This window comes from Homo sapiens, chromosome 12, assembly GCF_000001405.40.
Source record: "Homo sapiens chromosome 12, GRCh38.p14 Primary Assembly".
NCBI lineage: Eukaryota > Metazoa > Chordata > Mammalia > Primates > Hominidae > Homo > Homo sapiens.
This window is the reverse complement of record NC_000012.12, coordinates 4,079,418-4,095,693: the sequence shown is the minus strand read 5'-3', so window position 1 is coordinate 4,095,693 and position 16,276 is coordinate 4,079,418.

The window sequence follows — 16,276 nt, the reverse complement described above, 5'->3', positions numbered from 1 at the left end:
CTGAGCAGCTAGGACTACAGGCGCCCGCCACCACGCCCAGCTAATTTTTTGTGTTTTTAGTAGAGACGGGGTTTCACCGTGTTAGCCAGGATGGTCTCGATCTCCTGACCTCGTGATCTGCCCGCCTCAGCCTCCCAAAGTGCTGAGATTACAGGCGTGAGCCATCGTGCCCAGCCTATGTTAAATATTTTTTGTTTATTTTTAAAATTTAGAGACATGGTTTCATTCTGTTGCCCAGGCTGGAATGCAATGATGCCATCAATCATAGCTCACTGCAACTTCAACCTCTTGGGCTTAAGCAATCCCCCCACCTCAGGCTCCTAAGTAGCTAGTGCTACAGGTGCATAAGAGAGGGTCTCACTGTTGCCCCAGCTGGTCTCCAACTCCTGACTTCAAGCAATCCCGCAACCTCAGTCTCCCAAGGTGCTAGGATTACAGGAGTGAGCTACCACACTCATCAGTTAAATCTTTCAATACATAAACACAGCATATCTCTTCATTTATACAGATCTGATTGATTTCTTTCATCAGCATTGTGTGGTTTTTGGTGTAAAAAAAAAAATCCTATACATGCTTTGTTAGATTTAAGTATTTTTTTGAACAATTGTACATGGTATTGTAATTAATTTTAGTGTCCACATACTTGGTGCCAGAATATAGGAATACAATTGATTGACTTTTGTATGTTTACCTCATATCCTTCAAACTTGCTAAACTTACTTATTAGACCTAGAAGTTTTTTTGAAGATTCCTTGGAATTTTCTTCATAAAGAATCATGGCACCTGCAATATAGTTTTCTTTTTTTTTTTTTCTAATCTGTATGCTTTTTATTTCCTTTTTTGCCTTTTTGCCCTAGCTAGAACTTTCAGCACTATGTTGACTAAGAGTATTGAGAACAGACATCCTTGTCAGGTTCCCAAACTTAGAGGGAAAATATTTGGTCTTTTACCTTTAAGTATAACGTTAGCTACAGATTTTTGTAGATATTCATCAGGTTGAGGAAGTTCCTCTCTATTCCTGTTTTTTTCTGAGATTTTTTTTTTATCATAAATGGATGGTGAATTTTGTCAGAAGCTTTTTTTTCCCATTGGTTGATATGCTCATGTAATTTTTCTTTTTTAGGTTGTTAATATGATTGATTACATTGAGAGGTTTTAAAATATTGAGCCAGCCTTACTTCCCTGAAATAAATCCCATTGGCATGGTGTATAATTCTTTTTACACATTGCTGAATTCTATTTGCTAATATTTTATCAATGATTTTTGTGTCTACATTTTTGCTAATATTTTATCAATGATTTTTGTGTCTACATTTATGAGATTTATTGGTCTGCAGCTTCCTTTTCTTTCTTTTCTTCCCTTTCTCCCTCCCTTTCTCCCTCCTTCCTTCCCTCCCTCCCTCCCTTCCTTCCTTCCTTTTTTGTAGTGTCTCTTTCTGGTTTTAATATCAGGGTAACATGAAGCTTCATAAACTCTGCCAAACTCTTCTTCTTCAGTTTTCTGCAGGAGATTGTATAAAATTGGCATTAATTTCTCTCTAAAGGGTGGTAGAGTTCTCCAGTGAAACTCATCTAGACTGCAGATTTGTGTTTTGGTAGTTTTAAAATTGTGGATTTAATTTTATAAATGGTTATAGAGTTATTCTGATGATCTATTTCATTTTGGGTGAACTGTGATAGTGTGTGTTTTTTGAGAAATTGGTCCATCTCATCTAAGTTGTTAAATGTATGAGAGTAGAGTTTTTTGTAGCATTCGTTTATCATCATTTAGACACCTTCAGGGTCTGTAGTGATATCTCCTGTTTCATTCCGGATATTGGTCATTTGTGTCTTTTCTCTTGGTCAGTCTTGCTGGAGATATGCCGATTTTATTGATCTTCTCAAATAACCAGCTCTTTGTTTCAGATTTTTATCTATTGCTTTTCTGTTTTTAAATTTTATTGATTTCTGTTCTTATCTTTAGTATTTTTTTCCTCTGTTTGCCCTTGGGTTAATTTTGCCCTTTATTTTCCAGGTTCTTGAGGTGGGATATTTGGTTTTTGATTTGAGACTGTTCCTCTTTTCTAATATAAGTATTTGTGGCTACATACTTTCCTTTCAGCACTGCCCAGCTCTGTTCCATAACATTTGATATGCAGTACTTTCATTTTTTTTTTCCAGTTCAATGTATTTTTGGATTTCCCTTGAGACTTCCTCTCTTCCCATGGATTATTTAGAAGTGTTTTTATATTTTTCTGTTATCTTTCTGTTATTTATTTCTCTTTGATTCCACTGTGGTTGGAGAACACGCTGTATTATTCCAATTCTTTTAAATTCATTTAGGTTGTTTTATGAACCAAGATACTGTCTATGTTGGTACTTGGTTTTTTTTTTTTAAGTGGTATCAGAATGTGTAATATATTTTTATCAATTATATACTAAAAATAACCATCATTATAACCTAATACAGAACAATCTCAACAACTAGAACATAATAGTTATAGGAACTTGAAAATACTATGTTTTTGAACACATTTTTGTTGAAGAAAATTTTGGCAGGTGAAGTGAAATACAAGTATAATTTTAAAATGAAAAGGAAACAATATAGGAATTCTAACTATACAGAAGAATTTGGGCTGGGCATGGTGGCTCACGCCTGCAATCCCAACACTTTGGAAGGCTGAGGTGGACAGATGGCTTGAGCCCAGGAGTTCAAAACAAGGCTGGACAAATGGTGAAACTTCATCTCTACTAAAAGTACAAAAATTAGCCAGGCATGGTGGTGCACACCTGTAGTCTCAGCTACTCGGGAGGCTGAGATGGGAGGATCACCTAAGCCCAGAAAGGTTGAGGCTGCAGTGAGCCATAATCACATCACTGCACTCCAGCCTGGGTGATAGAGCAGGACCCTGTCTCAAACAACAACAACAACAAGAACAAACAGAAGAATATGTTTTGTTTATAATTTTTTTAATGTGAGATATTGCGTATCAAATATTTATGGCAACTATTTACCATTGGCTATAGGATGTAAACATGTGACTGAATAATTTTATTTAAAAATTTTAATATTTATAATAATCTGAAAAGTTTCTATTTTAACTACATAGTAAAACTTTTTATGTAAGCTTTTGGATGTTGACTTACAAAAAAATAAATGAGGGAATATATGATTTGTCACATTTTGGGGCGAGGGAGTCAAGTCAGCACCACCATGGGAAGCTCCCTGTTCTGGATACAAAGCCAAGATCAGAAAGGAGGTGAAGATTAAGGAGACTATGAAGTCATGATCAAGATGCTCTACCTCCTTGGGTATTTCTTCATTCATTCACTCACCCACTCAACCACCTGTATTTATTAAGTAACATTTTTTATCATGTGCCACTTCCTTTGTTAAGGGCTAGGAATATATAGGTGACTAATGGAAGGTCCCAGCCCTCCAGGAGAGGATCTCTTGCCAAGAAGCCATGAGCAACATCACCATTCTGTGGAGTACCTGGGTCTATTCCTGCCCTGCGGCCTTGATGGCTGTAATGGGTCGGTGCCTGAGGATGTGTGGAGGTGACATTCTTTAGACCTAGACCAAGGTGTGTATGGCCCCACCCTGCACCTCACCTTCTATAGTTACTCTAGTCCACAGCACATCATTGTCTGTGTGAATTTGTTCACACAGTAACAGGAATAACAGGGCACAAGCTATACTGACTTAAGCAAATTATAGGCAACCAGCTTTGGCACAGAAGTTCGGCTGGATCTGGTTTACCACAGAAGAAGTCTGGCTTCTCGGCTCGGAACTTCTTCACCTCAGGCCCGCCAGACTTCTCCCTGCGGCAGCCACTGGTTCTTGAGGAAGAAAGACGTGCAGTGTGGTAGAGTGGGAAGGGCTTGGTGTGAACCAGGTGAACTAGGCTCTTGTACTAGCTGCAGCCCTGTGTCACTTTTTATTTATTTTTTTGAGACAGGGTCTCACTCTGTCACCCAGGCTGGAGTGCGGTGGCAGGATCATAGCTCACTGCAGCCTTGACCACCTGGGCTCAAGCCACCCTACTTTCTCAGCCTCCTGAGCAGCTGGGATTACAGATGTCAGCCACCATGCCCAGTCCTATGTCACTTTAAATGAGACTTCCCTTTTCTGAGCTGCAGTATCTTCATCTGCAAAAGAGAGGCGTGGGATAGATTATTTATAAGAGCTCTTCCTGCTGAGGACTGTATGCTGCTAAGTCCCCTCTGGCTGAGTTCCACAGATAATTCTCAAGTCCCAAGCACTCTTTCTGTGTTTTGCTAGGGTTTCTCACTCTGAATCAAGTTCCTTGCCTACAGCCTGTCTAACTAGTCTCTTCCTCAGTCCAGGTTCTGCCAACTTATTGCCTCCTCCAGTTCCCTTCTTCTGAGAGTAGCTGCATTTCTCCAGGTTCTCTACCCCACGATTTCTCAAGCTACCTCCCTCAGCAGGCAGGACCTGCACCAGGCTCTTCCTTGATTGCTTCACGCTTCCTGTCTCTGGGAACCCCCTCTGGAGGGAGTCCACCAGGCACTTTCTAATTTCTGGATTACTAGCTCATGAATGTGGACCACACCCACAGGATACCATGTAAAGGAAAAATTGCCTACACTTATAAATGGGTGACAGCTCTTCTACCACATTTTAGATGAGACTCTTCTCTCCTAAGCAAAGAAGGCTTTAGGCAAAGGCCGCAGCCCCATTAAAGCTGCAAAACTGTGGTTTTTAAATGTAACTCAGAGCAGCCTTCAAACCTGGCATCCAAGGGAATATGGTAGGTAGTCCAGGTAATCTAAGATAATGTGGAATTTAAATGTTCTATCTTTGGTCTCCATGAGCCATCAAAATACCTGGAAACCAATCTGAACACATTAACCTTTCTCTGCACTAAAATTGGGACAACCAGGTAGTATATGCTTCCTGAATGATACAATAGGAAGTACCCTGTACCATCTATGTGGTATTCTTGCTGAAAAGTGAACCTCATCAAGCCTTTAGATCTATACCTTTGCAGAAAATACAGGCGATAGAAGAACAAGTTAAATACCACCATGGGGAAGCAATCCAACCAAATCCAGAATGTGGCATATTCTGCAGGATGATGGGCACAGTTTCTTTAGCAATCAATGACACAGAAAAGGGAAAAAACAGATAAAATTTTAATTAAAAGGCTTAGGAGACATAACCAAATGCAATATATGAATTTGCTGGATGCTTATTTGAGCAAGGCAAATATAAAACAGCAGTTTTTAAGACACTAGGAGAAATTTGAATTGAACTGGGTATTAGGTGATAAGAAATTATTATTTTTGTTAGGTATTTGGTTTTGTAGTTATATAAGAAGCCCCTCCTTCCTACCTCCCTTCTCCCCTCTTTTTAGAGCTACATATGGAAGTATTTAGGAGCAAAATGACACACAATGTCAGGAATTTTCTTTAAAGTACTGCAGGAAAAAAAGAAAAAGGAGAAATGGATAGATGCACACTGGTAATTGCCAGACCTGGGGGATGGGGGTTCATTTCCTATTCCTATAACTTTTCTGAATGTTTGAAAACTTTCATTATAAAAAGCTTTTAAAAGAAGGTCTGGGAAATACCAGTGTTTTGGTGTCAAAATGATATGTGACTCTTTACAAAGCCCAGACTTACATCTCAGAGCTGAGTGCTATGGTAAAGTGTATGAGCTGTGGAGTCAGACGGGACGGGGTTGCAATCCTTGCTTTGCTATTTACTAGCTAGACGGTCTTGGATGAAACCTCTCTGAACCTCACTTCTTTATGTGGTTGGTATGGGATTAAATGAAATAATGCATGTAAAATGCCCAGCAAAGTAGACATCTGTCAAATCATTTAAATGGAGGCTACTGTCATCATTAACCTTAAACCCCAAAGTATCAGAGAAATCCTTTGTCAGGCCATGTGTCCTAAGTTAGGTTCAGAAAATAGAAACTCAGAGAAGTAAAACTCAGGACAAGATGTGAAACAAATGGCCCACGTTCTCAGAGGTGTATAAGACTCTGAAGTCCCCAAGGATAAAGCTGGGACTCTGTGCAGAGACAGCCCCATTAACCTCAACGGACCATGCCAGGCAGGGAGTGGGCCCAGGCCTTGGGCAGAGAAGTTACCCAGTCAAGGGCCTTGCGGGGGTGGGAGGGTAGGGGATCCAGGAGGAGGAGTCAAGCTTCCTGCCTCCCAGCTTGGTCTGCATCCGCCAGGAGGCTTTGTTGCTAGGAAGAATCTAAATATATAGTGTGTGGCTGCAATGTTTCCTTCTGACAGCGCGCTGAGCATTTTCTCTCATGGAGCTCAGATTCCCCAAACTGGAAAGTGAAATCTTTGCAGACTCCCAAGGGACCCAAGAGCCCCGGATTCATTTTTCCCTAGAGAAAGCATGTTTGCTGGAAATTAGAGAAGGTAATTGGAGAGGCCTAGGGCAGAAAGGGACTTGCAGGGGTCATTTAGTCCATCCTCTGGCCTCCTGGCAGGAGTGAAACTAACCCTTTCCAGATGGTGACTGTCCTCCTGTCTGCTGAAGATCTCTAGGAGAAACCCTTGAAGCCTGACTCAGCAGCTCATTCCAGAGGAGACTGTGCTCATGGACTTTAGGTCTAATTTCGGCCCGGCCACTGACCCACCGTGGGGATTGAACAAGTTATTTATCTTGGCCCGTTTTCCAATCTATAGAATGCGGAAGATTGGTACCTGCCTTGCTGCTCTGAGGTTAAGGCATAATACAAAACGGAAAAGAGCTGTGTGCCCAAGAAGGGGCCGTGCACAAAAGGCCGGACAGCATTCTCCCATCAGGTTGTTGAAGAGGTTTAAGATTTTTTAAACCTTTTACTCATTGAAACAACGGCCTATTCTCACTGTGCCTTCTTTCCTTATAGACTACAATGGGAAGTGGCAATATATCGCGAAACAGAAAATCCCCACTGGTTTCACAAAAATATTGCGTTGGTATCATTCACTCAGAACAAATCGAGGCTTCTGACAGCAATGAAGAAATACACAGAGGTAACAACATCATGTTAGAGAATAACTCAGCAGCAACGCGCTTGAGCCAGGTTTTTCATTCGCGTTATGTCAGCAGAGCTAAGGAAGACAACTGAGTGAAGATCTGAAGCCAAGGCATTGAGGCCCAGAGAGGTTCAATCACTTGCTCCAGGCAGCACATCAATTAAGGGGTGGAAGAGGACTAGGACTAGTGCGCTTTTTATTTACTGGGCTCCTGCTCTGTGCTTAGCAGTTAGTGGAGATGGTTATGAAAAAGAACGGCCAGGCATGGTGGCTCACGCCTGTAATCCCAGCACTTCGGGAGGCTGAGGCGGTCAGATCACCTGAGGTCAGGAGTGTGAGACCAGCTTGATCAACATGGAGAAACCCTGTCTTTACTAAAAATACAAAATTAGCCGGGCATAGTGGCACATGCCTGTAATCCCAGCTACTCAGGAGGCTGAGGCAGGAGAATCCCTTGAACCCGGAAGGTGGAGGTTGCAGTGAGCCAAGATTGCGCCATTGCACTCCAGCCTGGGCAACAGGAGCGAAACTTTGTCTCAAAAAAAAAGAAAAAAAGAAAAAGAACGGCCAGCCCTCAGGAAGCTAAGAGGCTAATGGTGAAGTCAGAAAACGAACAGCTAGTCACACATGCAGAAGCAACTGTAGGAAGGGTTCCAAAGGAGAATGCCAGGGGACCATGACAGCAGGTCAGAGGCAAGCATGGCCCAGCCAACCTCTCTATTTCTCAGTCCACAGGGGAAGCCCGTCAGTAAAGCAAAGTCAGTGCAACCTTTCCGGTGGGTGCCCTGCATGTGGTCCTTAGCCCTAATCACACCTGGGCTCCTATCATCTCTTCTACAGTTATTTGACTCTGGTATTTTCTTTTAAGACGTTATTTTTTTTTAAGAGCAGTTGCAGGTTCACAGCAAAATTAACTAGTATCTCTTTAACATTTTCTAAGTTGAACTGAAATTTACATGACATAAAATTAGCCATTTTAAAGTGAACAATTGAGTGGCATTTAGTAGGTTCACGATGTTGTACAATTCCACCTCTATCTAGTTCCAAAACATGTTCATCACCCCAAAATAAAACCCATGAAGCAGTTACTCCCCATCCCTCCCTGTTCTCAGCTCTTTCCAAACACCAGTCTCCTTTCTGTTCCTACGGAACTGCACATTCTGGATTTTTCATACAAATGGAATCATGTAATATGTGACCTCGTGTGTCTGGCTTCTTTCACTTGGCAAAACGTTTTCAAGGATCATACATGTAGCATGGACCAATACTTCATTCCTTTTCTGTGGCTGACTAATATCTCTGACATTTTTATAAAGGTTAACAAATGGATGTTCTAGAAAGATCACTGAATTTAATATGGAGAAACCTGACTCTACCAAATGCCAGTTACTCTGAACCTCAGTTTTCTTTTTCTTTTTTTTTTTTTCTGAGACGGAGTCTCGCTCTGTTGCCCAGTTTGAAGTGCAGTGGCGTGATCTCGGCTCACTGCGAGCTCTGCCTCCTAGAAGAACCTCAGTTTTCTAGCCCATAAAGTAGGCAGTGATAATACTAATCCAATTCACCTCAAAGAAAGTTTAAGAGATAAAAGGAGTTGTAATTATAAATAATAATATATTTTAAAATATAACTACTTGAAACTACTAACAACAATTAATAAATGTCTCATGTATATATCTTTTTTCTACAACTATGTTTTAAGTTCTTTGGAGGCAGTGACTATGTCATACCCGTTTCTACCTTCATGACACTTCGAATTATGTCTGTCACTTACTAGTTATTCAATACATGCCCCTTGGATAGATAACTACTTGAAAAAGTGAATGAATGAAGTGTTACCTGACCTGTGAGGAAAGTGCCTTCTTCCAGGTCACTCAATCAGTATTCATTGAATGACTGGAGTGGTAGAAAGGAAGCAGTAACATCTGGTCTGGAATTATAGGACTCTGCCTTCCCTCTCCCCAGCTGTGCAGCACTAGGCCCAGCCTTGCAGTGAGGCCTGAAAGGGATAACTATGAAAACCAGAAGTTGCACTATTGCTTTTTTCAGACTTTCAGTCTGGAAACGATGTCATAGGCAAAGAACAGTGGGAGTTCAGAGACTGCTCTTGGTGTGAAGTCTTCCCCAACTGTTCAGACCCCAAAGAGAATCAAGTATGAACAAGGACTGGAGGGACAAGCTCAGATGCCTTGCTTGAAAAATAATCCAACATAACTTGATCCTCCCTGAGGTGGGCTAGGAATAAAGGGGCATGTGGAGGAACAACACTTGTCATCTGAAAATTCATTGTCCCAAACTTTGAGTTATGAAATAAACCAGGGGAGGAAATGTCATACCAACACAAAAATACTCATTAATGAACTGACCTAAAATTAGTACACCTTCAACTATCCCTTTTTAGCACAGGTGTATCCTTGCAAAATAAAACTGCCAATCTTGCAGAAGACATCGAATCTTATCAGGTTGATTAAAGAGATGTTGGGGAATTCCTCAAATCACATGCAGAGCCATGAACTGGAGTTAGCAAGGGAATGGACGCCAAAGGGGAAATTAACAAAGAGGGTGTTGGGCTTCAAAGAGACAGATTTTAGCATCAAAGAATTAAGGAAGAGCCCTTAGCATAATGCATAAAGTGATCCTTTCCATAACTGCACTTCGAAAGGCAAAAATTAATTGAAAGATGCCTTATGGTGCCATCGTAAAATTGTAGGAGAAAATTTACACCCAAACACATCAGTTCTTAATTACTTATTTTGCACATAGCAGAAACTATAACCCACATTTTATTTTCTCAAGCACATATTTTCATAATTTGTAGTATAATTTTTCATGTTTTTCACTGTTTACCATAAAATTGCAGAATGTATTTTTAGTATTTTTAGTGGCCCTTTTCCTCTTCTTACCATGCTTTGTGATGAAGAGCTTTTGTATTTTATTTAGAGATGGGGACTGTTATAATTTGAAGTTTACTGCGACTTATGCATGAGGCCCTATGTCAGGAGCAGAGGCCTGACTTATGTTTCGGTTCCCCTCTCAGCTTACTGTGTGACTTTGGCAAAGTTGATTAACGTCTTTATATTTCCATTTGCAAGTCTGCAAGAATCAGGATAACAGTCCCTGCCTTCCTTTTACTCCATACGGGTCTCAGTGAACAATATTATGATCCTTATGAAGTAAATGGTGGTCTTCAGAGAGAGGATGGTGCCACTACCTGATCAATTCCTGATTCCTCATGCTACAGGAATGGAAAACTTCAGACAGTAGATGCTCTAAATATGATTTCTATTTAGCTTTGATATCCTTAGAATAAATGAACTCTAAGGTTCCTTTCTGGACTGAAATCCTGTATGTCTTCACAGCAGATTTGTCTTCCTGATTATGGTTTAATCAGAGTAACTTTATAATTCCATTTCCTAAGCACACTTCCACTGATGGAGTGAGAAGTGCAGGGGATGTTGGGCTGTTTAGGAAGGCTCTGCATGTTGGCGCTCACGGGTTCAGGAAATTCAAGGAAGTATTACCATTACCCTATCATTTCCTTCACCTGTAACATGCCCTGAGAAGCTAGAGAAGCCGAGCTTTTCTTCCTGTTTTACAGCTATGGAAATTGAGACGCCCACAGACTCTGAAATCAATGAAACCATCCACTCACTCCAGCTTAAATCTGCCTGCTTCTCTGGATCTCCAATTTTCCCCATCTAATTCTACTGCCTCCTTTGCAAAATTGCAGGAAGAGACGCCAAAACCAGCCAGAGTCCTGACCAGTGACCCACAGCATTTTGGCACTGCACTGGAGAGCCCGGGAGGCACCACTGGGGCAGGGGCTCACTGCGGGGCAGAGAAAGGAGGTCAACCCCGGCCTTGGACAGCTCCTCCAGAGCTCTGCGCTGGACTCCACCCCAACACCGTGGTGCCAAGCCCTTTCCTCCTAATTGTTGTAGCCCTACAAGTATTCAGAGGAAAATGTCATCCAGCTGGTCTGGATTTCTCAGCGCGTGAGGGATCCAGAGAGTGTTTTGTAAGCCCTCTTGGATGACCATTCTGGGTCTCTGCTAGGAGTCAGTGGAGGCCCTTTTTAATCAATTGAAGGAAGTCCCATTTCACCAGCTGTCCCAGCCTGGAGGTGGAAGGGACTGCCTAGAGGAGGTGAAAGAGGGACACAGGGAAGGAAGAGCTCTGTGACAGAGCCAGAATGGGGCTCATTACAGCTCCCTCTACTATTGGACATTCTTCTCGTTGCAAGATTCATAGACCAAGAGTCATTCCTATGTATGGCAGAAGGGCCTCCACAGATTTGGGAAACTGAAGCAGAAGGAGGAGACTCACTGAGATGTGGCAAGCTGGAGTTGTGCTCTAGAACAAGGCACCGGCTGGCAGTTGATTGTCTGCCTATGGGTTGTTTCCCACGAGCTTCCGTCAGATAGACCTGGGTTCAGATTCTGGTTCTGTGTGACATTGGGAAGTTACTAAATTATCATGAAACAATTTTGCTCATCTGTTAAGCGGTGATAATTAATACCTCTCCAAAGCCTGGGAAGGTAGAATGAAAGCAGATATACAAAACACCCAGCACATTGACAGACAGGTGGTAGCTTCCTGAGTTAGGAAAATAAGTATCAAGAGGCAAATGTTTCGGGCACTATGGGGGACACCCCAAGTGATAAGACACATTTGGTGCTTCCAAGGACCCTGCACTGGAGTTATTAAGGAAAGGGGGAGTGGGTAGTGGGCAGGTGGTGTGCTTGGGGCGAGATGGCTAACACCATGTATCAGGAGACTTCACCTACAGAACAAGGCAGCTGGAGTGAAACAGACAAGGAGTATTCCAAATTTAAACAGGAGAGTTCACTACTCCTGGCTGGGCAGATCAGGGAGGACTCCTTCGAAGAGGCAGAAATGGACTCTCTCGTCCTGCCTGCTGCAGAAACCTCAAGTTGGTTATAGAGCGTCCCTGCTGAGTGCAGGTAGCGCTGGACTCCTCCAGGAACCGGTTGTTCATCTTCTGACACTTGCACACCTCTCTGGGGTGAAAAGGAGCAGAATGGATGGTGGCTTTGCTCAACTCTGCTAGAATCCAGGGGCTCTGGGAAGCCAGCCAGGTGAGCTCACTCTAGCCAGGCTAAGAGGAGGTTGAGGAAACCAAATCTGCTGCCCATGGTGCTGCTGACAATTGGGCCAGAAGTTAAGAATTTTCACCGAGTTCTCAGGTATCTGGGTCAAACTTCAAAGCAAGCCTACCTCAATATTTATCCTTTCCTGGAAATGCTTGTGAGCAAGGTTTGGGGCCCTTGTCCATTTGGAGGGGCAGTGGGGCCTGGGGATGCCAAATCAAGACGGTAACCAAGACAGTGGTCCCTGAGAGGAACGCTTTGCAGAAAGCAAATCCCCGTAGAAGGCAGTTCATTTTACCATGTGGTGTCTTCAAATGCATGAGTGTGTGTGTGACGGGGGAAGCGAGGGGAAAAGCAAGCAGTAATACCAAGCATAACATTGGAAAGTTTGTTTTCCACACAGCCCCTTTATCTTGTGTCAAATATATCTCCTGGGAAAAGAAAACATTTCTCCGGGCAATCCCCGGGGAACATTTTTTTCTTCCTTCATGTGATTTACGTTGAGGCTGCTGGGGGAACCCTGGGGTCCCACCGGGGAGTGTGCAGTGGTTCATGGCCTTGCAGGGGAGGTGGGGAGGCGAGAGAGGCAACCTCCACCCGGCCCTCCCAGACGCTCTGAGCCCAGCCAGCCTCTGTCCCATGTCTGCTCTGGAGTGGCCCCAGGAGGCCCACTGCCACACTGAATGTGAACATGTGAGAAGGGCCTCCTCATGAGCTACACCCATTATTTTGAAGGGCTCATCTCGGTAGAAAGGGCCTTGTTATGGTTTTAAAGTGCTGGGTTCAAGTCCTGGTCCTGTTACTTAATCACTGTTAAAAACTACCACTATAGTTTCCACAGCTATAAAATGGTATTGTTGAGAACAGTTCTGCCTGCCTCACATGGCTATTATGAGGATCAAATGAAGTGGGAGAGATAAATGTGTTTATCACATTAGAAAATGGATATGGGGCCAGGCATGGTGGCTCGCGCCTGTAATCCTAAAACTTTGGGAGGCCGAGGTGGGAGACTTGCTTGAGCCCAGGAGCTTGACCAGCCTGGGCAATGGCGCAAGACACAGTCTCTACAAAAATTTAAAAATTAGCTGGACTTGGTGGCTCACGCCTGTAGTCCCAGCTACTGGGGAGGCTGAGGAGGGAGGATCTCTTGAGCCCTGGAGGTCGAGGTTTCAGTGAGTTGTGACCGCACCACTGCACTCCAGCCTGAGTGACAGAGTGAGACCCTGTCTATTAAAAAAGAAATGAGAGCAGCCTGGGCAACATAATGAAACCCTATCTCTACAAAAAGACAAAAAATTAGTGGGGCACGGTGGCATGCCCTTGTAGTCCCAGCTATGTGGGGGGCTAAGGTGAGAGGATCCCTTGAGCCCGGGAGGTTGAAGTTGCAGTGAGCAGAGATAGTGCCACTGCATTCCAGCCTGGAAAACAAAGCAACACCCTGTCTCAAAATAAATAAATAAGAATGAAAACATACACGGATATACACTACTATTAGACAGATAGTGTCAAGGAAGGACTTTGGGCTTGGAGTCAGTTGATCTAAAGTCCCAGCCATACCACAGGGTGACCATGGGCCAGTCATTTTAACTGAGTCTCATCTTCTTCACCTGAAAAACGGGGATGATACTGTTCATCCCACCTCACTCGGGTACAAAGAGGAGTAAACAGAGCCATGACTATGTTAGTGCTTGTATGGTAGGCTGCTATACAATGTATATAAGCTAATTACTACTATAAATTATTTTTAGAGTTGAACCAGCTCAGAAGACAGAGGGGAACTTGTGAAGAAATATTTCCTGACCTTCAACTCAGCCACTTGCATCCCAGGACTTTCCCTGTTGCTTGCCATCTTGAGAACCTTCTTGCTTTGAATGAAATAATTTGATCATGGATATGAGCCCTTACTCCCAAATTTGTAAATATTGGAAATCCCTAATTATAGGGAAACAAGTATAAGTTAATTTATAGTATTTTTATAGCAAAGTCTTAATTGCCCACGAAATATGCATTTTTCCCTTTTTGCTTTGAATGAAATAATTTGATCATGGATATAAGCCCTTACTCTCAGATTTGTCAATACTGGAAATCCCTAATTATAGCAAAAAAAAAGTATAAGTTAATTTATAGTATTTTTGTAGCAAAGTCTTAATTGACCACCAAATATCCATTTTCCCTTCTTCCTTACTAACAGAATCCTATTTGAGTATGGGAGTGGCAGTGGGCTCAAGCAAAACAAATGCCATTTCCCACCCTCATCTGCAAATAGGGCAGGTGACATGGCCAACTTTGGACCAGTGAGATGTGAGTAGAATTTCTTGGTTAGGCTTGAGGAAAGTTCCTACAGAGGAGGGACTAACTGAGCTGGCAGATGCCTAGGGCTTCTACTCTTCTTAATGTTGGGAATGCAAAAGTGGTGGCTGGAGTTCCAATACCCATTTTGTGACCATGAGAGAATATATCAAGGCTAGTGAAGCAGAATGGCAAAGGTGCCTGATTATATTAATGATGTTATTGAATTGCCAATGTGACCTTAGACTGTCTATCGCTAGGCTCCTTTATCTAAGAAAAAATAAACCTATTTATTCAAGTTGATTTTTTCCCAAGATATCTATTACAATGAAATGCAATTTCTAACTGGATACAATCTTACTCTATACTATCATCTTTATATGTTAAGTCCACATGATTATTATCTTAGGGGCTAAGTGCATTTTACCAATAATGACTCTCTTAATCCTGCAAGATAGTTCCTAGAACACAAGAGTTACCAATAGGCAAGCTGACGCCTAAGGAATAGTGTGAGCTGAAGAAAGTCAAAAGAAAGCATGTGTTTTAATTTCTGGGTCAACTCTACATTCTCAACCAAAGCAAACACCTTTATAAATCCTCCTAGGAATATTTTTTGAGTGGGGCAAGGCTACGAGGCACTACAATTACCACTTTGCAGTCTGAAACAGTAAATCAGAGCAACTAGGTTTCTAGATTAGATCTTGCCACTTTCTCAAGGAAGAAGATCACACCCAGAGAAAGGCCTAATAATCTGAAAGCCCTCAAATGTCTTCCCTTCTCATTAAGCAGCAGAGAGAGGAAGAGTGGAAAGAGAGACAGCAGAGAGGTGAGCAAGAAGCCAAGGAGCCCTGTGGAGTACTCAGCCAAACACACACTTTCACACACCCTGATTAAAGCCACACCCCACATTGCGCCAACAGTGCACACATACCTTTATCCTTCAAAGCTCTGTAAGACTGAGGCTGCATTGAGCCCAATGCCAGGATACTTGAATAAAAATGCAAAATCCTAGACCTCTGGGTGTCCAGAGGACATCAAATATTCCTCTGGAAACACCCAGAAGACTGGTGAATTTTTCTTTCTTAAAATAGGTATCTTTACATATCTAGAGTTTGGCATTATACCTTTAGAGCCTCAGTCCACATGGGAATACTAGACTTGTAATGGATCATTTATGGAATATGGCTCACTGTGATTTTAGTCTCTGAACAAACCCACTAAATGAATTGACAGAATTGAGTACAGTGGTGATATCATTGAAATATGGCCAGATAAAAAGAACAAAATAGCTTATATAATTATCAGTTAATTTTTCAAACTACCAGTCTTACTCAAAATGCTCAGTGTTGAAGCAAGAGTACTTTTCTGACTGCCCAAATCAAAACGTCTTAAAATATACATGGACATGCAGGTGTTGCCCTGTCTTTCTTCTCTTAATCCCTGCTGTCCTGATCTTCTGATGCTGCAAAATTTAGCCCTAAATTAAATTATGCTTTATATTGATCTCTAGTTTATGTGTGTTACTTGTGTCCCTCTCAATTTAACTGTAAACTGCTTAAATGTAAGGGATCCTAAGAAATATCCATTAAGTTACTTACAAGTGAAAAGTTTGACTTCTGCTTCCAGAAAGATGGAGCGTATGTACGTTTCTCTATTTCTACCACTAAGTGTAATGAAAAGACCTGGACATTATATATAAAACAAACATAAGAAGACTGACAGGTGGAGAGAAGAAAACAGACCTACTAGGGACCTCAGACCCCAGGAAAAACACAGTGATGAGTTCCCTGGGTTGTCATTATTATTATTATTTGCTTCATATATCCCAAACTTGGAGCTGAAGAACTTGACAACCCGGAAATGCCAGCAAACATAAGCAAAGCC